At 38.7% G+C, this 27,297-nt stretch overlaps 1 protein-coding gene across 2 annotated transcripts in view, besides 1 other annotated feature; it reads left to right on the forward strand.

Annotated features, from left to right (window-relative positions):
- Positions 1–27,297, forward strand: part of MYO16 (myosin XVI) — a 712,290-nt gene that overhangs the window by 72,793 nt on the left and 612,200 nt on the right. The window lies entirely within an intron of this gene.
- Positions 24,983–25,152: an enhancer, noted in NCBI's record as "experimental_32298 CRE fragment used in MPRA reporter constructs". NCBI's record gives its function as "activates a minimal promoter by MPRAs in K562 erythroleukemia cells, with activity observed for both the introgressed and non-introgressed 13:109245924 variant alleles {active_cell/tissue: K562}" and the evidence as "EXISTENCE:reporter gene assay evidence [ECO:0000049][PMID:34662402]".

The following is a 27,297-nucleotide window of genomic DNA, read 5'->3' on the forward strand; positions in this document are numbered from 1 at the left end:
AAATTCCTTGACCATTATTTACTTGGGTTGTCTGATTGTTGAGTTGTGAAAGTTCTTTATATGTCCTGGATAGCAGACCCTTATAAGAAATGCTTTGAAAATATTTTCTTCCATGGTGTGGGTTGTCTTCCCACTTTATTGGTTTTATCAACTCCATGACAAAAGTTTTAAATTTGGATATAGTTCAGTTTATCTACTTTATTATTATTATTATTTTTTGCTACTTGTTCTTTTGATGTCATATCTAAAAAACCGTTTCCTAATCCAAGGCCACAGAGATTTACTCCTACATTTTCTTCAAAGAGTTTTGCGGTTTTGTCCTTTAGAATTGGGTCTGGGATCTATTTTGACATAATTTTTCTGTCCAACTTTCTCCTTGTACATATGGGTACCCAGTTGTTCCAGCACTAATTCCTGAAAACCTATTATTTTCCTAGTTATATTTTTTTTCAAGTTTAATTGACCATAAATGTGTTTATTTTTGGAATTTAAATTCTATTCTTTTGATCTATATGTCTGATTTTATGCCAGCATCTCACTGTTTTGATTATTGTAGCATGCAGTAAGTTTTGAAATTAAAATGTGAGCTGTGCTCCAACATTGTTGTTACTTTCAAGATTATTTTGGCTAGTTTTGATTCCTTGCATTTTCATATAAATTTTATGATCAGCTTGCCAAATTTATCACAAAAGTCAGCTGGAATTTTGATAGGGTTTGTATTACGTTTGTAAATCAATCTGAAGAGTACTGCCTTCTTCACACTTTTGAGGCTTCCAGTCCATGAATGTGTAATGCCTTTTATTTACTTTGATATTGAATTTCTTTTAACAATGTTTTTTTGGTTTTAGGATACAAATTTTCTACTTCTTTTGTTAAATTTATTCTTAAATGTTTCATTAGTTCTGATGCTGTTGCCAATGGAATTGCTTTTTTAATTTTACTTTTTATTGTTAGCATATAAAAATACAATTGATTTTTTAATATTGAGCTGGTAATTTACAAACTTGCTTAATTATTAGTTCTGATAGATTTATGGTGTATAAATTTCTAGGATTTTCTATGTACAAGAGTATGTCTTCTTTGAATAGAGATAATTTTACTTCTCCCTTTCCTCCAGATACCCTTTATTCTTTATATTATCTAATCGTCCTGGCTGGAAACGCCCTTCAAATGTTGAATAGATGTGGTAAAAGCAGATGTCCTTATCTTGTTCTGATTTTAACGATAATATTTTTAGGCTTTCACTATTAAGTAGTATATTAGCTCTGGGTTTTGTGTAGATGTCCTTTATTGGGTTGAGAAAATTCTCTTTCCAGTTTATTGGGTGTTTTTAACATGCGCTATTATTGTCTACTGAAATAATTGTGTGTATTCTGTCCTTAATACTATAAATATGGTATGTTTGATTTTCATAAATTAATTGTTGATTGATTTTCATATATTAAACAAATTTCACATTCCTAGAATAAATCCTAATTGGCCATGGTGTATAATACTTCTCAAATGTTCCCGGATTTCATATCCTTGTATTTTATTGAAGATTTTTGCTTTTCTAGTCATGGAAATTATCTATACATAGTATTATTATGATCTCTGCCTGATTTTGGAAATACTTGCCTCAAATAATTACTTAGGGTGTGTTTTATTTTATTCTACACTTTGGAAGTGTTTGTGAAGGGCTGGTCTTGCTTGCTTGGTTTTTGCTTTCCTTCTTTCCTTCTGTTCTTCCTTTTCCTTTTTTCTTTCTTTCTTTATCCTTTTCTTAAATCTTGTTCTATCACCCAGGCTGGAGTGCAGTGGTACAATCATAGCTCACTGCAGACTCAAACCCCTGGGCTCAAGTGATCCTCCTGCCTCAGCCTCCCTTGTAGCTGAGACTACAAGTGTGCACCACCATAGCTGGCTAATTTTTAAATTTTTCATAGAGATGGGGTTCCTACTATTTTGCCCAGCCTGATCTAAAACTCCTGACCTCAAGCATTCCTCCCACCTTTGCCTCTCAAAGTGCTGAAATTATAGATGTAAGCCATCATGTCCAGTCTATTTCTTAAATGTTTGTGATAACACACCAATGAAGCCAGCCATCTGGGCCTGAGAAGCAAACATTTAAAAGTAGCGTTTCTTACCTGTTTGCTTACTTTGGGTACAAGTGTCTGAAATACCTTGTACTTTCTACTAAATCCATGCATATTTCTAAGATAGTAATTCAGGAAGTCTTTTTATTCAGAACTTTATACAAATTTAAAAGACTACATTGAGATTGAGCAAATCAGTTCATGATTATGAATGCCATGGTGGTAGCCAAAAGCCTTGCCTCTTTGCTGGCCATGCTATGCTGTTTAGTGGTTCTGTAGAGAGATTAATGCTTGCCTTTGGGATGGCCATTATTTTGAATTAAAACATCTCTTGGGTCTATTAGGCACTTACTGAAAATTAGCTTTAAGGACAAGTAATTATCAAAAACATCTTAAGAAAGTGTAAAGTAAGACTCACAGGTTATTATAATTTTGGGTTTTTGGTATAGGTAAGTTTGAGTAAATATAGATCAGATTAGTAGGTTTTGATATTACAGAAGAAAAAGAAAAAAAAGATAGCAGAAGTCAAGCAGTTTGTTCTGCAGTTGCCATTATTATTTTTTTCTTTGGACTCTTAAGAAAATACCTTTTTGATGACTGAATCTCTGTGAACTGTGGAAACCTAGGAATTGGTTCACTGGTTAAGGATAAGAGGATACAGTGAAGATAAAAGCAGGGATCAGAGGATGGCTCAGGACTGAGGATTAGCCCTGGGATGAAAAAAAAAAAAAAGACAAAATTGTCAAGATTTGTGAACCTTTGAGAATAGAAAAAATAATACAAGTGGTGCTGAATTTGGCAAGGACTACAGGTGTTTATGTCATGATGTTGATAACTGATTTTAGAAATTTCTAAAATCTTAAGAGGCTAATCATGAGTATTGCAGAGAATTCTAATGTAAGCTTTTCATTAGTTGTATACCAATATTAAAATGTATTTTTTAAAATGTCAAATGTGGCAAATGTGGAAAACGAAATGAGAGTGCAGTCGCTGCTACCTGGAGCCACTCTCTTTGAGTGAAAGAAGCCATGTGAGCAGGAGGTCTGCAGGTCTTGTGGGTTCTCTGGCTGCAAATGGTGTTGCAGGATGCTAGCATTGCCCCTGTGTGTGCATGACCTTGCATATATGTGTGTGTGTGTCTGAATAGTTCAAAACAAAACCAAGTAATGGGTCAAGGGCTTTTCTATATTTGAAAAAAAAAAAAAAGTTGGCTGACTGTGAGTTCCCATGTGTGTCTTGTATGTAACTCTTCCTGGAATTGACTGGAGAAAAGTTTCCATGAAAGCAATCACTGACACAACCCCCACATCAAGTTTCGTTGTTGTTTTTTGTGCTGTTTTTTCTTTTTTTTTTTTTAAACAGGGTCTTACTCTATTGCCCAGGCTGGAGTTCAGAGGTGCAGTCACCCTCACTGCAGCCTTGACCTCCCAGGCTCAAGCAATCTTCCTGCCTCAGCCTCCTGAGTAGCTGGGACTACAGGTGCATGCCACCATGCCCAGCTGATTATTAAAAAATATATATATTGTAGAGTTGGGGTCTGGCTATGTTGCCCAGGCTGATCTCAAACTCCTGCCCTCAAGTGACTCTCCTGCCTTGGCCTCCCAAACTGCTGGGATTACAGGTGTGAGCCATCACATCTGGCCCCCTCCATTTATTTTACTACCTTTTTTCTTAATGCTGGCATTGAGCTTTACAAACACTGAAGTTTTACTAAGGCCTATTGTCTATAGCCCTCTCCCACTAACCTTTGGGTATAATCTTTATCATTTAAATAACTTAAAATACAAGTGGTTCTTGTTTTATTTGGAAAAAAATACAATTTCTAATGTTCAGTTATTATAATAAGTAAAGCATGGAAACCTGGGATGTGGAGGACCATCAAGATTATCTGCTCCAGCCTTCCCAACAATGAGTGAATGCTTGTAATAAAAAGTGGTCATCTAGTCCCCAGGTGAATGCATCTTATTTCGGTAGATCACAGTCTAGGAAGACAGTGCGTTCTATATTTTTGCAGCCATAACTGTTGCCTTGCTTTAGGTCCTTCCCTCTCCATTTTAAAAATGTCAAGTTCCTTTATCGTTTTTTTGTGACATAGGTTACTGAAAATGTTACTCTTCTGATTATATTCCTCATGATTTCAACTTGGTGACCTCCACTTAATGGTATGCTTTAAACACTAGATCTATCGGTATATTTGAAAATACCGTTAAATTAAATGGGGAGGGGAGCATGTTAATAGTGGTTTTGTTAACAAGTTTTTGCTGTAGCAACAGGCAACACAAGAATCTTCTGTCCAACCACAACAAGTGCTAATTGCTTGATGACCTTGCATGAGGACTGTGGGTGTCCGCTGCAGATAAACTGGTTCAGCCTCATGGGTCTTTCATTCTGTGACTCAGGCAGAAGGAGGAGGTAATATCTGGAGCCACTCTTCCCAGGATGAGACACAAGTCTAAGCGAACATGCAGAATCTCTCAATGCCTCCTCGCTTCTCTGGCTGTAACTGGCATGCTTTTTGTCCCACCCACATTCCATGAGTCAAAGCAAATGACACGGCCAAGTGTAAAACGCCTGTACTTGTTGAAGCAGAGGTCCAGGAGAGAAGATACAGATGCAGAAACCAGCAACAAGTGGGAGGGATGGTTGTTTGCTTTCACCCAGTGCAGTGGTTATCTTAGATGCGGATTATAGGCGATTTTTCTTTTCTCACCTTTTCAGTTTTATTAACATTTTTGTGGTAAATATAGGTTACTTTAGAAGTTGGAATATAATGTCATTTTTTAAAAAATAAAATTTTAAAAATGTAGGACTTTTAAAAATGCTACTTAAGCTCAAATGTCTGTATATTTAAAAATTAATTGTGTATAATTTGCATATGCAACATTTATACTGTTTTGATACTTCTAGCTTATTAACTGAATTATTCACTGCATAGCAAAATTATCATGGTAGGAAATGGGAATCAGAGAGACCAGGGATAGACTGGTGATAGATTCTGAACAAGAAAGAAAGTAGGATAAGGAGGTCAGTTTTCTCCATTGTAGTCTGGGAGTAGAAGCAGGTCAGAGATAACACTGAGCAGTTTGATCTCCTCACCAGACTTCACGGGCTCAGAGATAGTGTAGCAGCCTCTCAGACTTTCATATTCTGCTCCTCATCCAGATGCACTGTTTTCCTTTTTAAAAGTCAAACTAATAAATACAGTCATTTACAGTCTTAGAAGGTCAGGTTCAGTATATTTCATGAGCCCTGATGGTTGGATTTCTTGTTTATTTATTTATGTTTAAGGCAGGGTCTCACTCCATTGCCCAGGCTGGAGTCCAGTGGCACAATCATGACTCACTGTAGCCTGGACCTCCTGGGCTCAAGCGATCCTCCCACCTCAGCCTCCCAAGTAGCTGGGACCACAGGCACATGTCAGCACACCTGGCTAATTTTTCTATTATTTTTGTAAAGATGGGGTCTCCCTATGTTACCCAGGCTGGTCTCAAACTTCTGGGTTCAAGCCATCCTCCTGCCTCAGCCTCCTAAAGTGCTGCGATTACAGGCATGAGCCACTGCGCCCAGCCTAATTGGTCAAGCTTCTCTTGCTTGGATTTGTCCTGAATACATCAACAGCTGGCTGGGCTTGCTAATGACGTCCTTCATGACTTATGTCTCTTGTTGGCATCCAGCTTTCTGTAGTTCTAGGGGAAAGTCAGGAAACTGTCTAAAAGCTCCATGGTTATATGAAGCAAGGAAATGGGATGAAGATCTATTACCTTTCCTTTCAGTGAGCTTTTTCTAGTTGCAAGAGACAAGCATAACTGTGGTATCAAGAGTCTATTGGTATATGGGTTTCTTGATAGAAAATCATGAAATAAATTTTAAAATAAACTTTATCTCTCATAGAACCCATTAAACATGCTCAGTGAAGGCAGCACTAACTTTTATGTAACAGGAAGAACTCTTATCTCTTTAATTCTCAATAAAGCTTCAACTCAGTAACTTAAAATGTTCAGTGTCTGAAAATCCTCAATCTTTCTAATACGATTTAAAGTTAAAATCTTCTCCCTTTCCACAGCAGGGGGCCTACCAATAACAATTTGTGTGTGTGTGTGTGTGTGTGTGTGTGTGTGTGTGTGTGCGCTTGTGTGTATTTGTATATGTATGAGTGACAGAATAAGAGATTCTTTTTTATCCTACCAAGCATTTCCTCTCCCTCAGTTTGTTAAACACAGTTGTTAATCACAACAGGGTCAAAGTTTGGTTAGGAAAAAAAGGAAAACTAGATGGGGAAGTTCTCACTTGACTAGTTCTATTATAAGGTGTACTGACACACTCCAGTGTGACTAGTTCTAGTATAAGGTGTACTGACACACTCCAGTGTGACTAATTCTAGTATAAGGTGTACTCACATACTCCAGTGTGACTAGTTCTAGTATAAGGTGTACTCACACACTCCAGTGTGACTAGTTCTAGTATAAGGTGTACTCACACATTCCAGTGTGTAGAGCTAACCCTGTCACACCTCAAGTGTTCATGGGTTTATCAGATGCCCTCTATCCTATGATGACCTTTGAATCCTTAGACATATTGAACAGTCTCTATTCCTGGGTTCACTTCTGCAGCCCCAAGAATCTGGTGATTCCAGTCCTAGCTTTTCATCTGCTTAGAGCTTGTACATCTCTCCAGATTGCACAGAGAATGAGATTCAAGATGACCAACCCGCCAGCTATGTTTCCTTCTTGACCTGTATGGGTCCTAGGACGACATCATACATCCTTTGCCTGCACACCTCTAGGGAGGCTGATAGGTCTCAGTGTTGCAGACCTCAGGCCCTTGCTCTGCTGCCAAAGGGACAGCTAGTCCTTTTTTGCACTCTAGATGGCTGAAGGAAAAGCCAAGCCTGAGCCCCAGCACCCATTAACTGTGTGAAATACAACAAGCTCTCAGTCCCACAAAAGCCCTTTGAACCTTTCTCCCTTGGGGGAGAGAGGCACAGACCCATAGCACACTAGCGGATTTCCCCTAATAAACTCTCTACTGAAATTTTCCCTCCCCTGCCAATACCGCCCTATGTCCTTTTGATGTGAGTTTTACCAGTTATTGGTATTCTGCTTTCACTTTGGTTACAAATGTATGCAATGGTCCCCTGCCCGCCCGCGTATACATTTCTTCTCTCTGTTCCGTGTTTCTGGCCATGGTGTGGTGCCTACGCTCTGGTTAATTCTGTCTTTCCCAGCCCTGTACCTGGCAAGGCTAATAATACCTTAGGAAGTGCAGGTGTTGCAGAAAGATTCCAACCTAATTTCCAGCAGGTGAATGGATATGCCATAGAGTTTAAATCCTTCTAGGTAGACCCTTTCAAGTCTCGGCAACTGAGGGCCTATGAGATAATGTTTAATACCAAATCTAGCTGGGGCTGGAAGGGATAGAGAAAGGCCAGGCCAAAAAGCTGATTGTCAAGCGCTCAGGGCTAGCACCCTAAGACTAAAGAAAAAGGCAAATCTGGAGACCAGATTTGAACACGTAAGTCATGCTCAGAGAAGCTGGTAAGCTGAAGTTCCAAAACTACAGAAAGGACTTACACATATGAGAGTGCAAGATAATGAAACAGGTGGCAGATGTAGCACTAGAGACAGGTCAGATGTGGAAATTCTGCATATTGGACCTAGAATGAATCCTGGCTCCTAGAAGGAGGAATCCTCACTTAGCCACCGCAGTCTTTTAAACACAGGCTCTGTACATCCCTGGAGGGATGACCTTGGGACTTCCACGTTGTAAAGTTCTTTTGGGAAGTACTGAAGCCTGAGAGTTAGTGCATTGGCCACTGTCATACTGAGGAACAACCAGCTGGTAATATTGTCTTCTGCTATGAACTGAAGGAGTGAAATGGAAGAGTAAAATGTGGGATGGAAAACAATAGTAATTATATAAAGCATTGTTATTTATTCGACACACAAAATGTAAGAATCTATGCTATCTGAAAAATAACATCTTTAACTAATTCTTTTTCATTTTGAAAGTAACTGCTCTTAGTTATGAGTGATTTTATTCAAATAATCCATTGAATTATGAATATAAAAGTTATTGTCCTTTTGGCAAAATTGACTGTAACATATTTTTAATAATTTTAGGGGCATTTCAGCTTTAAGTTGAATTCCCAGTGAACTTTGCAGTGTTTTTCTTTTCTTTCTTTCTTTTCTTTTTTTTTGAGACAGGATCTCGCTGTGTTGCCCAGGCTGGAGTGCAGTGGTGCAATCACGGTTCACTGCAGCCCCAACTCCTGGACTCAAGTGATCCTTCCACCTCAGCCTCCTGAGTAGCTGGGACTACAGGCATACGCCACCACATCTGGCTAATTTTAAAATTTTATATAGAGACAGGGCCTTGCTATGTTGCCTAGGCTGGTCTTGCACTCCTGACCTCAAGCGCTCCTCCTGCCTCAGCCTCCCAAGGTGTTGGGATTACAGGCGACAGCCACTGTGCCCAGCTTGCAGTACCTTTCCATTTGATTCAATTTTTCTAAAATTCCCCACCATACAGTTTTCTTGAGTTGTCCTTTTCATGAGGTGTTTGGTCATTTTTTGTTTAATGCAATATGACATTTCACTAACTTTTAAGAGCTATACAAAAATGAATGAGAAATGCCACATTGATGTAATTAACCTGTCCTTGGAGTGTGCCTTCAGGAGAGTAGTGACTTAGAGGAGGGAATGGCTAAAGGCTGGATTCTCGAGGCAGATAGCCAAATCTGGCTATTAGAGAGCCTCAATGTCTCATATATAGGATGAGGATAATGAGAGATCTCCTTACCATGTTGTTGTGTGCATATAATACACATAATAGAAGCTCTCTCTGTGCTCCAGCACCGGGCACCAGCACAGCGTGGTCTAGTTTATTATCTTCCTGACTTCATGGCTTTAATTTCTGTCTCTCTCCTCCATCTGGAACACCACATCCAACTCTTCCTGCCAGCATCAATTCTGCTCTACCCTTCAAGGCCTCACTCATGTCCCATTCTTCCTGGAATGCTTCCAATCCACTGTGTGTTATATGATCACTTTTAATATCTATTCCTGAAATAGTGTTTTCTCTCCATCACTTGGTATTAAAGTTGTCAGACACTTTGCACTGACTACAAGACATACTTATAGTCCCATTTACATTGTAATCATTTTGATGCTAGGAAAGGTGATCGAGAAGTCTTTTATTGACAAGGTATTTTAAATGACTAATTAACAAGAAAACTATGTATCCATATATTTATAAAAATCCCTAAACTTGCCCCTTTTACCCCACCCCGATATCTCCTCCTGATCATCTAATTCTATTTTCATTCCACTTGAGGAGTTGTATTTGAGTAGCTTAATATAAGAGACAAAATAGCCCCATCAGGGATCTTTTATCCCTTTACTACGCAAGTATATATTGTGTGCTCCTCTTTATGTTTTGATCAAAAAATTAGTTTTTAAGAAGATCTGGAAAATGAAGTTTTCAGGATTAAATTACTTCTATTTCTTTGTTTTTTACCTGGCTTGAGAAGCAGTTACCAATATCAAGCTTGGCTTTAAGGTAAGTATTTGACTTCATATTTATTCGACACATAAAAAGCTGCCGTCAGTTGCCAGGATTTGTGCATTTGTCTGAAATGACCTAGTAAAGCTGGGAAATCTGTGTAGGGTTTTCCCATGTTTAATTCAATAATTAAAATACTAAAAATGTTATGTAAACTGCCATTTGAAGAGTGAAAACCAGATAATGAGAAACGTGTTTATATAACAAAATATCTCATTGCAATCCATTTCACAGTTCCTATTTTAAACCCAAATGGGAGCAATTATGCAAAATTAAATATCGAGGTAATGGCAGTGCCAGATGTCCATTTGAGGACTTTAAGACTGGAAATGACCACTTAGAAAAGGCATGTTATAAACAAGCATCTGGCCCAGGATTCCATATCCCTTTTTGTTTGGTGGGTGCTGTGTACTTATAAAGACTCTCCTTTTGAAGAAAGCTGCCAGTGTCCTTGCCAGGGGTCCCACTCTTCCCTCCTTGCCTCATCTTCCCCACTGGGATGTCTGGCTGGAAAAACAACCTGGCATCCTGGTGCCCATACATTTCTCGTGTTCAACTTCAGAATATGGGTACTATTCGTCGAGATACACATCACTAAGAGCATTGCGACATTTTCACATCCCCAGGTCCTTTACTTTCTAATTGGTCTTGTGGTGTGTTCATAACTATGGACTGCATGTGGATCACAACAATTATTGGGAATACATTTTCAGCTCACATATATATTTATTATACATTATAATTATATGTATTATGTATTTATGTATTATTACATATATTTATTATATAATAAATACATATTTATTTTACATATACAGTTATATGCGAGCGTCAGAACACTGTAAATATAATGGCTGTGAAATTATATCTTTAAAGTCTTATTATATTTAGGACCATGGAAAATTTGAAAGGGGTTAATAATATGATTTTTTCCTTTGTAGGGGATGTTAGGGTAGAAAGACCAATGGCATCTTCAAAGGCTGCTTGGCCTCTTGTGGAAACTTGGACAGAGTGGTGGCCCATGCCCTGTGTAGTTATTTGCAGTTACGGTTGTGTGTCCTTACCAATGTGGAAGTAACTTGTGTCTTTTGACTGAGTCTCTTGCAGTTTTCCCATGAGTCACCATTGCCTTGCAATAACCTCAGTAACTAAATGAAAAGCTGTTAGAAATTTAGTATCTAGAAGGATCATCTCAAAGATGACTGAGTTAGAGCCTGGAAGAGAAATCCGTTTGAATGCATTTAGGTCTGAAGGATTAATGCTGATCATTGAATTTCTATAAATGCTAAAGGCAAGAATTTTTTTTTTTTTTTTTGAGATGGAGTCTCACTCTGTCACCCAGATTAGAGTGCAGTGGCGCGATCTCTGCTCACTGCAACCTCTGCCTTCCGGGTTCAAGCAATTCTCCTGCCTCAGCCTCCTAAGTAGCTGGGATTACAGGCGCCCTCCATCACATCCGGCTAATTTTTGTATTTTCAGTAGAAACGGTGTTTCACCATGTTGGCCAGGCTGGTCTCAAACTCCTGACCTCGTGATCCACCTGCCTCGGCCTCCCAAAGTGCTGCGATACAGGTGTGAGCCACCATGGATGGCCAAGGCAAGCTTTCTTTTTTTGTTTTTTGTTTTGTTTTGTTTTTGATATCTCCAAATTAAGATAATTCTGTAGAAAAATAAAGAGCCATGCCTATTGTTTGGGCATTTTAATTAATGCATATAGCTGGCCACTTCCTAAATAATATTTCAAACTGCTATTACAATGACTGCTATTTGTTAAGTAAGAAACCATTTGGAGTTTAGGTGATTTGTGATCAGGTGTTTTGAAATTCATGATAATTTATAGATCCAGGGATTCCAATGACATTGACTAATTGACTGCATTTTCCTGAGTGGCAAATAATATAATTCAAATACGTAATAAATCAATGTTTGATACTTAAAAATATAGATGATAAAAATAAATTTAAAAAATAAAGTCAATAAAAGAGTTCTAATTAATGTCATGGTTTGCACATACTGAAACACTTAAACAGGAACATTTTGCTATACTGCATCCCTGGATAAACATTTTCCTATACAGCATCTACAGATTAGAGGTCCAGTGTCTCTCTTTACTAAATCATACCCATAATGCAGACCTTGAGATTTCTATGCTTAAAATTCTTCAGGTTAACCTAGAACCAAAAGATACATGTGCGACAATTTGAGGGCAGAATCATGCTAGGTTTTTCTCGATTTACCAACCTCAAACATCTAAAGTTGTTTATCCTCCTACTAGCTGGACAGTTCTTTTAAGCCACTTAGTGTTTACAAAGCATTAATTTTAGTGTTCCTAGTAACAACTCTCTCTTTTTGCGCTCAATTTATCTGTTTATTTGGTTAAATTTAAACTATAACAAGTAAAACTGACATATACACGTTTGTTCCTAGTAACAACTCTGTCTTTGTGCACTCAGTTTATCTGTTTATTTAGTTAAATTTAAACTATAACAAGTAAAACTGGCATATCCATGTTTGGGACTACAGGAGAGTGCACTCTTGGTAAGCTCACATCTCTACAGGTGGAAGTGGAATGCCCCATTTGCCTGGAGATGATCCCAGTGGCTGTCTGTGCTGGGGATGTCACTCACACAGTTCAGAGTACTTTACAGTGGGACTGGAGGATAGTCAGTAAATAGAAGTCAGTTGAAAACTTCCAGAGTAGCTGCTTGTTTTGCATAATTTAGCAATTCAGAAAATAACATATATAAATACATGTAACACTTAGACTGAATAGACAGTCTAAGAATACTGAGAAAAATGAAAGTGCATTAATTGTTTTATAAGCCTTCAGCAAGCATGTTTCTTTCTATAATGAAATGTAAAATTAAGTTTTTTTCTTCTGTATGGAAGAAGATGTGAATGGTGATTTAATTACATTAACTTCAAATACATTGAATGAATACACGCTGCCACCTGTGTGCATATGATGAATACAGTACATATAAACATTTTAGGATATTATTTTTGAGTACCCATTTTAGAAAAGTGAAAAGCGATATAAGAACTTATTAAGATGATTTATCATTCACTAAAGTCATATAGCAAAAAGAACAAAGTATGTTACCTAATACAGAATTTCTAAATGTAGAACCATATCCTGGTAATGTGAATATGATTAGAGATTCCAGGTGGAAATCGTTTTTGACTGTCAGAATCTTAAATCATACCCAGATGATATAGACATATAATATGCAAGCTACATTGAACATCCAAACTCTATTACTGTCTAATTCTTTTTCAAGGATGTTCGCCAATAATTGAGGTATCTTTTTTTCTACTTATATCTCTCGCCCTTCTTCTTGCCTTTTTTTTTGTTTGTATCTTGCCTGTATTTCTCTTCATTGTGGTTCCATTAGGGTTTACTCTATTCCTACTCTCTCTCATTGGATAGCCCTAGGCAATGTTACAAAGTAGGGGAAGTGGACAGGTGCAATGGTTCATGCCTGTAATCCCAGCACTTTGGGAGGTGGAGGCAGGTGGATCACCTGAGGTCAAAAGTTTGAGACCAGCCTGGGCAACATGGTGAAACCCCACCTCTACTAAAAATACAAAAATTAGCCAGGCATGGTGGTGGGCACCTGTATTCCAGCTACTCGGGAGACTGAGGCAGGAGAATCACTTGAACCCAGGAGGTTGCAGTGAGCTGAGATCATGCCGTTGCACTCCAGCCTGGGCAACAGAAGCGAAACGCTGTCTCGAAAAAAAAAAAAGAAAAAAAAAAAAGAAAAAGAAAAAGTAGGGGAAGTTTGTCAGCACTGTTAGAAACCAGTGAAACAATTTGGATTTTTACAGCATTCCCAGTGTGTTTATTGAGCTAATGTATATTCATTGCTTCATTTGAGAGACTGTGTATTATTTAGGTACATTCAATAATGTATTTTCTATGTATCATGAAAGCCATTTTGCAGAAATATGAAGAAAAGATTTTCCTAATTTGAAAATATTTTTATGTAAATTAGTTCAGATTCCCCAGTACTTTTCATCATGTTTGTTTGATTTTTGGGACCTTCTCTTGACCGTTTGTGACTGTTTCAGGTTTGCAGAGGTAATGAGAGTTCTGTGAAAGTATATTGAGCTGGATGTTGAAACACCACCGAGTCATTTAGTTTTTCCTCTTGACTTTGCATCTTGATTTGGTACAAGTCTACCCAGTTCCACATGTATGAGTTCAGTCCGTTCCATATGACACTCTCTCAGGTAATGGAAATACAAAGTAAAAATACACACACTTCTAAACCTGAGATCTTTAAAGAGAGGATATTCTGACCAAGAGTGGCAGGTGGCACAACCCAACTGAGCACCCAGCTCACCCAAACCCAGCCAGGGGAACCAGAAAGATATCTAAGCAGAGTATTCGAATTCATAGTGTAAGTTCCCGGAAGCAGTGCTGCAGGAAGAGAAAACAGGACAATTACCAAATGGTCTTGTGTCTGTTTTGGAAATGGCTTCCATGTTAGGTGAAGATTGAGTTGAATCTTGAGAAGACTGGATATATGAGTAGGGATTGGACAGATAGAGGCTGTGGGTGTGTGTTTTGGAGATGGGGTGGGGTTTAGGATGAAGATGAAGACCCTCTCTCACAAAACGAAGGCAAACTATTACAGTTAGGAAGTGTTAAGGCACACGGGCTGGGTTATTATTTAAAAGTTTCCGAGTACTCCTGGAAGGTGGAGAATGATAAAAGTATTATCTTCTTTGCTGACCTCTTAGGATTATAAGGTCATTCACCCCAAATTGGAGTTATGAATGGAAAATCAATTTAAAGTCACAAAATTGTAATATTATTATAATATTCAACTTTAGCATTGATATTTTAGATTCAGAGAATGCAACAGATAAAGTTTATGAATAAATATTAGAATATTTAAAAATAGATTCTATCAAAGAGAAATAATATTTGTAGATTTATAAAATTACATCGTGTGCATTTTGGCTGTTACAGTTTATATAAAATCATAGGAGCAAGAATGATTAGCTTGTTTTCATTTCTACTTAAAAAAATCAGCTATGTAGAATTCTTTTGCACACATTTATTTTCTTTATATTTTTGATTAACGAAGGCACTCAGGTTGTGATATAAAAACTACTTTTTGGAACATATCCGTAAATCATGCTGGAGATGGAATAAAGACTCATGCATCAAGTTGACAGAGTTGATGGCATTATCCACGCAGAATTCCTGCATTTGGATGCAAAGGGTGCTAGAAGAGACTTTACTTAGGCAGAAAAGCTTCCCTCATACGTGATTCTAATATGCTTTTGGGTTGCTAACATGGAGTATTTTAGTACATTGCTAAACCTCATATTTCAATAGTAGGAATACCACAAGTATGCATAGAGGACTTGGAATATTATAATCCAGTGATATACTATTTTTTAATAATTTTAGAATTATTTAAAATGAAATCATAGCATGTATTATTGCATTTATATGGGTAATTCTGGAAGGGGATTTCAATGCATCCATTGACGAAGTGCTGGAATGACGAATGATAATAATTTGCTCATTTTTGAATTTTGTATTACTCAGTGATTTTTCTAAGTTACAAAGCTGATTGTGGCACAAGGTAGAATATTTGGAAAGCAAGATAAGCAAAACGAAGGAATTAAATCCACCTTCAATATCATCGGGAAGAAAACAGTAACTCCTAACTTTCCAGTGCCTACCCATGCAGTCTTTTAAAACTGTTTTGAAAAGACATTATCAAAAGATTAAAAATAAAGAATCCAAAGCAAGGAGTGTATCTTTGAGATTTACCCGTTAAAGTAGTTTTTTGTTTTTTGTTTTTGATACGGAGTCTCGCTCTGTCACCCAGGCTGGAGTGCAGTGGCACGATCTTGGCTCACTGCAAGCTCTGCCTCCCAGGTTCATGCCATTCTCCAGCCTCAGCCTCCCAAGTATCTGGGACTACAGGTGCCCACCACCACGCCCAGCTAATTTTTTGTATTTTTAGTAGAGACGAGTTTTCACCGGGTTAGCCAGGATGGTCTCAATCTCCTGACCTCATGATCCACCTGCCTCAGCCTCCCAAAATGCTGGATTACAGGCATGAGGCACCGCACCCAGCCTAAAGTAGTCTTTGAACCAATTTTAATATATGTAATTGGATAAAGTTATTTGCATTGTCTATGATTTCTGGTCAAATGCTATTGAAATCAAGTATTTTTTATTGGTACATAAAAATTGCACATATCTATGGAGTACATGTGATGTTTTGATACATGCATGCAATGTGTAATCAGAGTAAATGGAATATCCATTACCTCAAACATTTATCTTTCTTTGTGTTGGGAAACTTCCAAATCTTTCTTATAATTATTTTGAAATATACAATTTTTTTATTAATTATAGTTACCCTACTGTGCTATAGAACACCAGAACTCATTCCCTCCATCTTGCTGTGTGTTTGTGCAGAGTAACCAGCCTCTGTTTATCCCCTTCCCTTGCACCCCTGTCAGCTTCCAGGATCCAACATTCTACTCTCTACCTCCATGAGTTACCCTTTTTTAGCTCCCACATATGAGTGAGAACATGAGATATCTGTTTTTCTGTGCCTGGTTTATAAAATCAGGTACATGTCTGTTAGAGCAACTTTGGACCAAATATTTTGATGTGCAACAATGATTACCATTACACATAATTAGATTTAATACTTTTAAAATTGTATTTTTACAGAATAATTATAAATTGAAATCTGATCTTAGAGTTGGCCCAATAGAGGTATAATTTATCAATATGATTAAGACAAAGTTAGAAATTTAATGGCTTTCCTCTTTTTAGGCCCATAACAAAAGTGTAATTTAGTTATGAGCAAGATCTTATTTTCTTTTGCAGTTAACTGAGAGTAATAGTGAATCATTGGGAAGATATTCTAAGTACTATCATTCATTATATTTATTAACTCTTAGATTTTGTTGACGAAAGAGTCAAACTCTGTAAAATATTTTCAGAGATTTATTCTGAGCCAAATACGAGTGACCATGGCCCGTGACACAGCCCTCAGGAGGTCCTGAGAACATGCACCCAAGGTGGCTGGGGTACAGCTTGTTCTTATGTATTTTAGCAAGGCATGAGACATCAATCAAATACATTTAAGAAATACATTAGTTTGGTTCAGAAAGGCGAGACAACTCAAAGAGGCAGCTTCTAGGCTATAGGTAAATTTAAACATTTTCTGGTTGACATTGATTGGGTTTGTCTAAAGATCTGGGATCCATAGAAAGGAATGCTCAGGGTGAAGATAAAGGATTGTGGAAACCAAGTTTTATTGTGCAGAGGGAGCTCTCAGCAGACCTCAGAGAGAGCAGGTTGTAAATTGTTTCTTATCAGACTTAAACGGGTGCCTGGCTCTTAGTTGATTATCTCCTGGATCTGGAAAGAAAGGAAGGAAAACAAAGGGAGAAGGGGATTCTCTATAGAATGTGGATTTTTCCCACAAGAGACTTTGCAGGGCAATTTCAAGATATGGCAAGGGAATATATTTTGGGGTTAAGTATTTTTTTCCTTGTTTCATAATGTCATGCCAGAGTCAGATTGAAAAGTAAGTCACAATATATAGGGTCAAATGAAACCCATCTGATGAGAATTTGTGGTTTATATGACATGACTCCCTAGACCCCTTAGGTAGGAATTTGGGCAAGATAAAAAATCCGAGCTTAGTCCTCAATTTATATGTAGATAAAAATATAAATAATGGTTTTCCAAAGTTATAAGAAATTGAAGGATGGAGAAATAACTCGTTTGCTATTTATTACAATGTTCAATCTTTAGCAAAATATTTTAAGACTTGATCTGTAAACTAAGATGGATGAATTACTAGAAGTTTCAATAAGTTACCATATAAATGTTTTTAGAATAGATCTTGACACAGAGTAGGCATTCAATTAGCATTAATAATTTTAAATGATATTATATTTATGAGATGCATATGTTGTATACATTCATGTAATTTACACATAACACACACACATACACACATGTATCCCAGATAAAAAAAGAAGAGATCATTAGAAAAACATACTAACTTAAAATAAATGAATACAAGAAAAATACACAGATTTTAGCTGAATTAATATTAACAAATAAAGTTTATAAATGATAATTTTACACTGAATATGGAGAAATCACCTTTATGTATGAAATATCCTTATTTGACTATTTTTTTAAAAAATATATTTTTTCAGAACCTTCCCTCATCTTTATACTATATTAAATTCAAAAAAAATATTTATAATGGGCTGGGTACTACTGAAGGTCCATTTGGTAGGCTGAGGTTCAGATATGCTAAGTAGTGTATCCAAAGAAAAAGAGCATCTAGAGATTTTTATTGCTGCTAACTGAATCTCAACTCCTTCCCTGGAGATGAAGGCAGGTCACTGCAGGGCAGATGCAAAGTGGTCACTCTTAAGGGGCTGTATTTGTCCATTCAAGGTAATCCTTTTAAGCATCAAATGTCATGTAGGTGAAAAATGGGTCAGGTAGTTTAGAAAATGGTGGAGTAAAGCAACTGCCAAATTCAGGTAAGAGATACTGGTTATTATGATATAACAAGTGGTGGGATTCTTATGCTGAATCTCAGAGCAGACAACAGCTTCTTCTCCAGCTTGTCTGTCCTTAACCCCTCAGTCTGGAGTTACTTTCAATTTCTATAAGGACCCTTTATACCCTGTGATTGCATTATTGTTCCACAATATTCTGAAAAGCGCCTATTTTCCTATCTTTCCAATGAGATCCCCAGGGAATTTGAAGGCAGGAGTTTTCTTTGTTACCAAAAACACCAGCGGTTCACTCTAGATTCTGCAGCTTGCTGCACAGAAAGCCAATCACTGAGACAGCAAGTGTTGCTAAGGACAAAGGCTTTATTGGGTGCTGCAGCTGAGGAGATGGGAGATCAGCCTCAAATCCATCTTCCTGACTGACTGAAATTAGGGGTTTATGTAGCAGGGAAGAAATGTAACCTTGTGTGGGAAAACAGGAATTAGGGAGCGGTAAGGAAGAGGAGTTGGTCAACAGGAAGCAAGTGGTCAGTTAAGCAATTATGACCATGACTGTGAGGAGTCTGGCATCTCATTGTCCAGATGCAGTGATTTGGTGGGTTTCAGCTTCTTGATATTATCTGAGTGGACTGCTGGCTTTCTGAGAAAAGAATTCAGATAAGACAACTGTAATTTTTTCAAGTTTTAAGGCTAGGAGTGTCAATTTCTATGTTTATTTCAAATGAACCATAAACATCAGTTCTATTAGACAATTGAGCTAGTTTCATCATCAGGGGCCATATGATATTTCACCACTTTAAACTACCAAACAATGTTATGTCAGAAATGTTATTCACGTTTTAAATTCAACAGCAAGTTTTAGCAACAAATTTTGATATTCTATAAATTAGGAATATGATTTTAATTGAGATTGACAAGGTATATTTTATGAAAGAGTATAGGATGAAGTTAGCATCTGCTCATTTTTGGCACCACTGAGAATAAAAATTCATATGTAATATTTTTCCACCACACAACATTATACATATATAACCAACATTTTTCACATGAAGATTCTCCTCAAGAAGGGGAATGACCGCCCAAGCCATCAAACTCTACTTTTAAACACCAGCTTATTATAGCCATACAATCAGGTGGCATTCTAAGAGCAACCTAAAGTTATAATACATCCGTGAGCAGAAGCTATCATCTGGGTCATAAGTTACCTTCTCAGAAAAGACAAATATATCTGAATATAGCCATTACATGAAGCACTTAGATCCTTTTCTCCAAAATAATATTTTTTTCTGTTTGCAAATGTAATGCAAGTTTACTGCAGAGTATCTGGAAAACAAATAAAATATCTAAATAAGGAAATATGTTTTTATTAATGGTATTTTATTAATACCATTTCTTAGGAATAACACCCTTTAAAATATTTTTTCCGAGCTTTTTATTATTATAAACACATATTCAGTTAATGTTGTAGAGATCATCCAATATATTGAATTTTGTGTGTGCCCTCTACTTGTCAGAGTATTAAATGCAATCTACTGGTATTCCTGTGTCTTGAAAGAAACTATATCTGTATGTCACAATCAACGCTGCCTATGTGGGAAAGGGAAGTTTCCCTTATTTGTACTTTGACAAATGTGGCTATTTCCTAGGCTGTACTGGTCACAGAGACTGTGCCAAGGACCTGCATCATTACTGGCTCAGCGCTAGGTAGAGAGGGTAGTATGGAAAGTGGGGCATACATAAAACATCGTTTCCTCTGCAGCATCTTTGAAACCAAGAGCAGATTTAGAAACAGTTTTTAATATACTTCCCCTCCTGAAAATAGAAAAGGAAAAATACCAAGGAAGGTATTTATTAAGAGCCAGGTTCCAGAAGACATTGAGTTATGAAGTTATTTTTATGGTAAACATTCATTATACTTGCAAATATTTCCACTTACCCCTTTCAGAACTTAGGTGGGATTGCATTTGGGAGTCATTCATGGTTGAGTAGTACTGTGTGATTAGTTATGGTGAATTGGATATGAAAGAATGTGTTATGTGTCATTGCCAAGGCGTGACATACACTGTTAGTGAGAGGCCTTGGACATCCTTTCATTTTCCTCAGGTTGCATGATTGCCAAAGTTCAAGGCTAGGCTGAACAGAGACCCCTGCCTAACCACGATGGGCAGGTAACCTGAGAGATAAATATACTTTCTTTTCAGCCACCGAGATTTGGGGGCTGATTTTTACTGCTGTATAGTTTAGCCTGTTTTTACTCTTGATAATAATTGAGTATTTGTGGACTGTGTGTACAACACATTGGAATCGGTGTTGAATAAATGAGTACTCCTTTCTATGTGATCGTGGAATAGACATTAGAATGGTATTTCAAGGACTAAAGCAATGGCACAGGCAAAGGTGAGCTGAGAGCAGTGGTGAGGCGGACTAAATTCACAGTGGCTGGGAACAGTCTCTGCTTACACTTGTTGTGCTGGAATAATTTTTAATACCAACTTATTTTTTCTCAAGGGCCCTGGTTTGGATGATAAATTATGTCTTAGTTTTACATAAACCACATGTTGACTTCTTTATCCTTACCTTTTCCTACCGAACAGATTTTATGATCTAATTATCATTGTTAACCTGATTGCTGTGTTTTGGTATATTTTCATATTACAATTTAACTTCTCATATTTTATTGTGCTACATTTCCCAGTATAGCCCTTGATGTTTTCATTAATGTGTTTTCCTTTCCCCTGGATTATAAAATACCAGTATTTATTTCGCTCCCTACTTTACACTACCTGGTAATAAACACAGTGAAATTTATTGTTTCATGAAATTGTTATTACTGTTTAGTCAGTAATCACTGTCACAAAAAAGCAAATACCAGTGCAGAACTGTCTTCAATCCAAAAAAGAAAATGACATCTGATGCCCCAATATTACTTATTTTACCTTTTCGAAAGTCTTGTTTAGGGCTCCGGGTATGACCATATATATATTGAACATTATTGTCTTCTCTCTCTCCCTCTCGCTGTCTGTCTGTCTCTCTCTCTCTCAAGCAAGTAGTGGCATCAATCTATTTGAAAATTTAGAGACCATTAGCAAATGTTTCCTGGAATTGTGTGTCTGGAAAATTGGTGGCAATCAGCAAGAATAGTTCAAAAACAGTTCGATTTTCTAGTTCCTTCGGAGCAAAATTACACATATATCACCATGGGCAAGTCTTAAGAAAGGTGTTAAGATGTCATTAATTTATTCTGATTAACTTTCCTGGCTCAAATTTCCTCAGTTTAATTCTTTCATATGTACTTTCCTCTTTAACCCTTTGCCTTTATTTCTAAATGTGTGCAGTGATATATATAGGAATAAATATTTCATAATCCATATTATACTGCTTTTTTAAAAAATCAAATTTTTAATAATCACCTCAATGAGAAGAAACTTTTGTTTTCTTGAAAACCATTATCAAAATCCTGTTTTCTAAACAGCATATTTCCAGCACAGATTAAATTGCCAGTATATTTGTATACTAAGAAAGCAGACATTCCATTTGGAAGTACTACACATATTCACAAAGGTCTGTAAAATCTGAGTCTTATGCAGTGGTTCTCAAACCTTGGTATGCACTATAATTGTTTGGGAAGTTTTAAAGAGTAGTAATGCCTGAGTTTAACCCTAGAATCGGGTTTCATTGATTGTAGCCGAGTATTGATATAATTTTGACTTCCTCTGGTGATTCTAAAGAATAGTCAGTATGAAGAACTACTGTCTCAGTGGACCCCAGACTTTGCTGTGCACATTTTGTGTTGAACTGTGTCCCCCAGAAGGATATGTTGAACCTGTAATCAATGAGACCTGCAAATGTGACCTTATTTGGAAACAGGGCTTTGCAGATGTAATCTAGTTAAGATCAAGTCATACTGGAGTAGGGTGGGCCCTGAGCCAATGACTGATGTTCTTATGAGAGGAGGGGAGTTTGGACACAGACACGCACAGAAAACACCATGCGAAGACACAAGGGTACAGAAGACATAAAAGAGAGAAGGCCTTGTGAAGACAGAGGTGGAGATCGGAGTGATGCATCCACAAGTCGTAGACCACCAAAGATTGCCAGCCACCACTGGCAATCCAGAAACTGGAAGAGGAGAGGAAGAATTTTTCCTTACAGCCTTCAGAAGGAGCACAACCTCACCCCCTTGATTTCAGAGATGCAGCCTCCAGTACTATGAGAGAATATATTTCTGCTGTTGTAAGCCACCATGTTTGTGCTACTTGGTCATGGCAGTCCTAGGAAATTAATACAGTGCATTATCATCCTTTGTTGAATATACAAAAGACAAAGAAGTTCAGTCCTTGTGACACACAGACTTAACTGAGTTTCTGGGAGTAGGTCATGGATGGGCTGCTGAAATTTCCTGCAGCTCTGTAGGCCCTTGTGGTCCCCAGCCTTGCATCCTTAGAAGAAGTCCCAGGTCCCTCACCTCATCTCCTGACTCTTACCTGCATTCGAAAAAGATCACCAGGAGAGTCCCAGGAGTCTGTCCTGCAGTCTGAGAAGCCCTGTCTCTGGGGCATCAGGAGGTGCTCCAGGGGTGAGCTTGTTTGCTGTAGCCAAGAAAATAATTTGTAAAATGTGTAAGAGCTTCAGTCTCCCAGAAATGGAGTTAGTTGTTAAAAACACAAGTTTTTCCTAAACATAAAAGAGGAGCATTCAGTGCTTCTTTGAAAATCTAGTTGAAAATTGAGTTCAACACAAAATATTAATTCACTTGCTCTTTAAAATAAAAAAAAAAAGTCAGGCTCATAAATGGTTAATGTCTCCATCCTTTCATTTTGAGTGCCAGGCTTTGGTTCTTTTCTTCTTTCTTTTCCATTTTTAGCTTACAGTCAATGGCTTTTCATAATGATTGGAAGGAAACATAACAAAAATCAATTTCATGACTTATTTTTCCTAACAATATTGGACAATGTGCTTTAGAAAAAAAAAGTATTTGAAATGGGGTTTTAATGTTGTTGAGCCTTCATTTTTATGTTAACTGTTTTCTCTCTTTTCTTCCTTGTCCTTTTCACTGTGAAAATGACCTACTTTGAAGTTTCAAATAAAAAGAAGTTAAATAGGCTTTTATTTGGCTCTTGATTCTTTTTCTAGCAAATTTGGAAAAGGTCCTGACTTTGAGTATAACATGGCTGAGTGTAGAGAAGAAAAGAAAGAGCTTACCCTGACTTGTCTCTTTTTCCTGGTATGCTCAGGAGAACTTTTCTAGCGTGGAGACTAAGCAACTAACTTGCCAATATTTGCACTCTATGAATAGAAGCATTTGGATAAAAAGATACAAAATAGAGGATGTTTATCTCCTTTTAAAGACATAAGATTAAAAAAATTTAATTATATTGTGTGTGGGATGTGTGGGGGGTGGGGGTGGAGGTGCAGGGGGCTGTGGGGAGGATTTGGGGTATGTATGGGAGTGAGTTTGGAGGGCTGTGTGTGGAGTGTGTTTGGGGTATGGAGGGGTGTGTGGGGTATGGAGGGGTGTGGGGGGTTATGGGGGAGTGTTGGGGTGGGGGGAGCTGTGTGTGTGGGAGTGTGGGTTGTGTGAGGTACGTGTGGGTGTGTGGGGGGCTGTGTGTGGAGTGTGTCCGGGAGTTGTAGGGGGTGTGGGGCATGTTGGGGACTGTGTGTGGGATGTGTGTGTGGGGTTGTAGGGGGTGTAGGCGGCTGTGTGTGGTGTGTGGGGTTATGAGGATGTGTGTGGTGTGTGTGTGGAGGGGGGTATGTTGGGGGTATGAGGGTGTGGGGGTGCGGTGTATGGGGCTTTAGGGGTGGGTGTGTGGGGGCTGTGGGGTGTGGGGGTTGTATAGGGGATGGTGGGTGGGGGAAATGTGGGGGTGTGGGGTATGGAGTGAGGTGGAGGCTGTGGAGTGGAGTGGGTAAGGTGTGGTATGTAGGGGTGTGGAGGGGCTGTGTGTGTTGTGTGTGGAGCTGTGTAAGAGGGAGTGTGGAGTGGGGTGGGGCTGTGGGAGGCTGTGTGGGGTTTGTGGGGTACGTGTGGTGTGTGTGAGGGTGGCTGTGTGTGTGTGTGTGTGTGTGTATGTGTATGGTTAGGGACCTGGCATTCATTCTCTCTTAGAAGCTTTGATACGAGCACAGGGCCATTCTCAACAGTACATGATGACAATTATTGCTTTCTAATTAAAAAAACATTGTATGCAACTCCTGAAATAAATTTTTGATGTAATTGTTTGTTAAAATTTGTACGACATTGTACTCTTCTCCAGAGAAAATTGCAATCACGCTTCCTTCCAAATAAAATTCCCTCTGCCACCACACAGTTTGGTGAACGCCTCCCTAGTGTTCGTCCCTGTGAGCGCAGGTGGAAGCACCTCGCTGGCCTGGGGTCACCAGGAAATGAACGCTTGCACTGTCATTTCAATGTCATCTGTGAGGGGCCTCTTTTCTCTCTTGAAAGCGATGAGTAAATGAAGAGTAGTGAAGCGGGGGTGAATATCATGCTTCAGAAATGGAAAATTTATTAGCAGTAATTTAGTGTGAACACATAGCAGCATTAAAATAAACGAAAATGCTCAAGTGGGTCTTCGAAGAGGAGTTTAAGATGGAAACGTAAGCTTCCATGTTCCTGTGAGTTAAGCTGTATAAAAGGTGCACAAGGCAGGCTGGAGTTGGGTCAATCCAACAGAACAGAGGTTTCTGGCAACGGATTCTGGGAATCAGTTCCCGGAGGGAGCTGCCGGCAGGGGCAGGAGCTGCTCTCAAGACCGCAGTGTTTCCTTCACCTGGACGCACCTGAGACACCACCCACGGCAGGACGGTGCAGTCTGTGCTTCAGAGTATGAAGCCCCACGGACGAATTGTTTTCCTGTGAATTTTGAAAGTGGGAAATAAAGACTATGGTTTACATAGTGGTGTATCTTAACCCATGACATTAGGAAGTTGTTACCTGTAAAACTAGACATGAACAGGTGTGACTAGCTACTGAGGATATGGATACATTTAGCCCCAGGCTCTGCCTTTTTCAGAGCTTCACCCATGAATCCACTAAACACACCTTTCTCCAAAGCCGAGGTCAACACTCCAGCTCAGATACCCGTGATGAAGTCGCACTTAGAGTCTGTCGGGCTCCTATGTCGCTCCCAAGCCCTGTTAGCATGTCACGCCCTCTGTCCCAGCAATAATACCTCACCTGCTGTCCTCCTCTGAGAAGCACAGAACAGCCTCTGACACCCAGGAGGGTGCAGCTGGCAGACACAGCTGGCCCATGGTGTTCCACTGAACATAAACAATTTTTCCAAACCTCAAGTCTCAGACCAGGTGTCTCTGTGCTCATGATGGAACAAGACCCCTCTGTAACATATGAACACAGACAAACGTGATTATTATTCAGGCCACTCAAACACGGGCTACCCAAGACACCCTTGCTGGCTAATCTGAGTGATGCTGCTTCTTGACCAATTACAGCCTTAGCCTGGCTCTTGTCCTCACTCCTTAGAGATAAGATTTACCATGAGGCCAATCATAGAACTAATCCATGTCCTGACAGCATCCAACCCACAGAATATCCCACTTCCTTGAACACCCTCTAAAATTACCTAACACAAGTCTACATCCTGTAAGTCCCTCTTGCTGAGATGCCCCACGATGCCTCACTGCCTGCATTCTCCCTCATTGCAGCCATGGTAACCCTAATTGGTTTAGCCTCAGGTGTCCCTGCAGGTCGCAGGTCGTGGTGGAGAGCACTGGCACTCTTTCCCTCCTTCACAATGCCTGCTTCCCTCATTCTTTCCCTAATAAGTCTTTCTTGAATCCCAGCTGGTTATTCTAGCTCTTGCCAGCTGCTCTCCTCCCTAGCCAGGTGATTATTACATGGCCATCTTTTAACAAATATTTTGGAAACCATATACTGGAGGATTGGCCTCAACTGACCTGCACTGGAATTCCTCAATTCCCCTGATGCGGCACTTCGGTGCTGGATAATTTCAGACATCCTGGAAGCACTATGCAGGGACACTTCTTTGCATCCTTTGTTGCAATTCCTGGAGCTGAGTCTGTTCTTGTAGCCCCCACCAGCCCAGTGTTGCTGAGCGAATGACAGGTCTTGTACCATTGCCTGCTTGATATGTGACATTCTTAGAAATATTCAGTCATACATTTGTTGGATCTCTGCATTGGGAAATGAGTGTGAACCAGTCTTCAGCAGCACTCTTCTAAACAGAAGTTTCTCTGATGATATGATTCACAGAGGCTGAGGGAGAGGAATAATTTTTTGCCTCTTTATCATCAGTTATGGATAACTTTTGCTGAAGGGTTAAGACACAGTGAATTCTGGCTCACACAGATCAAAAGCGAATTTATTCCTTTCCTGACTTTAAATTCTTAAATACATTCAGTCTACATACTGCATGGGTATTTTGACTCTCTGAACTCTAAAGTGAAAATGTCAAAATCTTGACTTCTGTGGTGAGTACATGGCATCTCTCTTCTTAAATTAGCTCTAATTGTTTTATAGATACATATGGATTTCTTTCAGGGACCAGTCACAGAAGCCTGGAATATCCAGATTGGAAATTCACAGTTCATATTGGCTTTATTAGTTTTGCTCCAGTTGTCTTAGTACTAGTAGGCTTGTTTAATTCATTCCACAAAATTGAATGGATTAATGGAATCAGGTCAAATCTCCCCACCCCACATGGCTGGAAGGGTCTGACTCTGATATGTTTTATAAAGAGCCTGACTTACAGCTTGCTCTTGAGTTAAAAAAAAAGTTCAAAAACAATTTTGCATATTATATAAGGTTACATCCCTAAGTGATTGATTAACTAGCGCAGTGAAGGTAGTTCCGTTCTTTTAGTGGAAGGTTAATCAGGTCTCTAATACCCCAGGCAGTCGCTCCCCTGCAGATGCTCAAGTCCCTCTTGGCTCTCTAATCACTAGACAGTCAGCCCCCTCTCCACCTGCTGGGAGTGTTTTGACAGAAAGCAAGGACTTGGCCCTAAGCAGCCTCTGATCCTTCCAATAAATAACGCTGCTGATCTTCACGCCTCCTCTTCTGTCTGCCCAGCTTCAACTCCAGTCCTTCTGTGTAAACCTTTAACTTTTTTTATTGTATGGATTTTAATGTTCATTGTGG

This window comes from Homo sapiens, chromosome 13, assembly GCF_000001405.40.
Source record: "Homo sapiens chromosome 13, GRCh38.p14 Primary Assembly".
Classification (NCBI taxonomy): domain Eukaryota; kingdom Metazoa; phylum Chordata; class Mammalia; order Primates; family Hominidae; genus Homo; species Homo sapiens.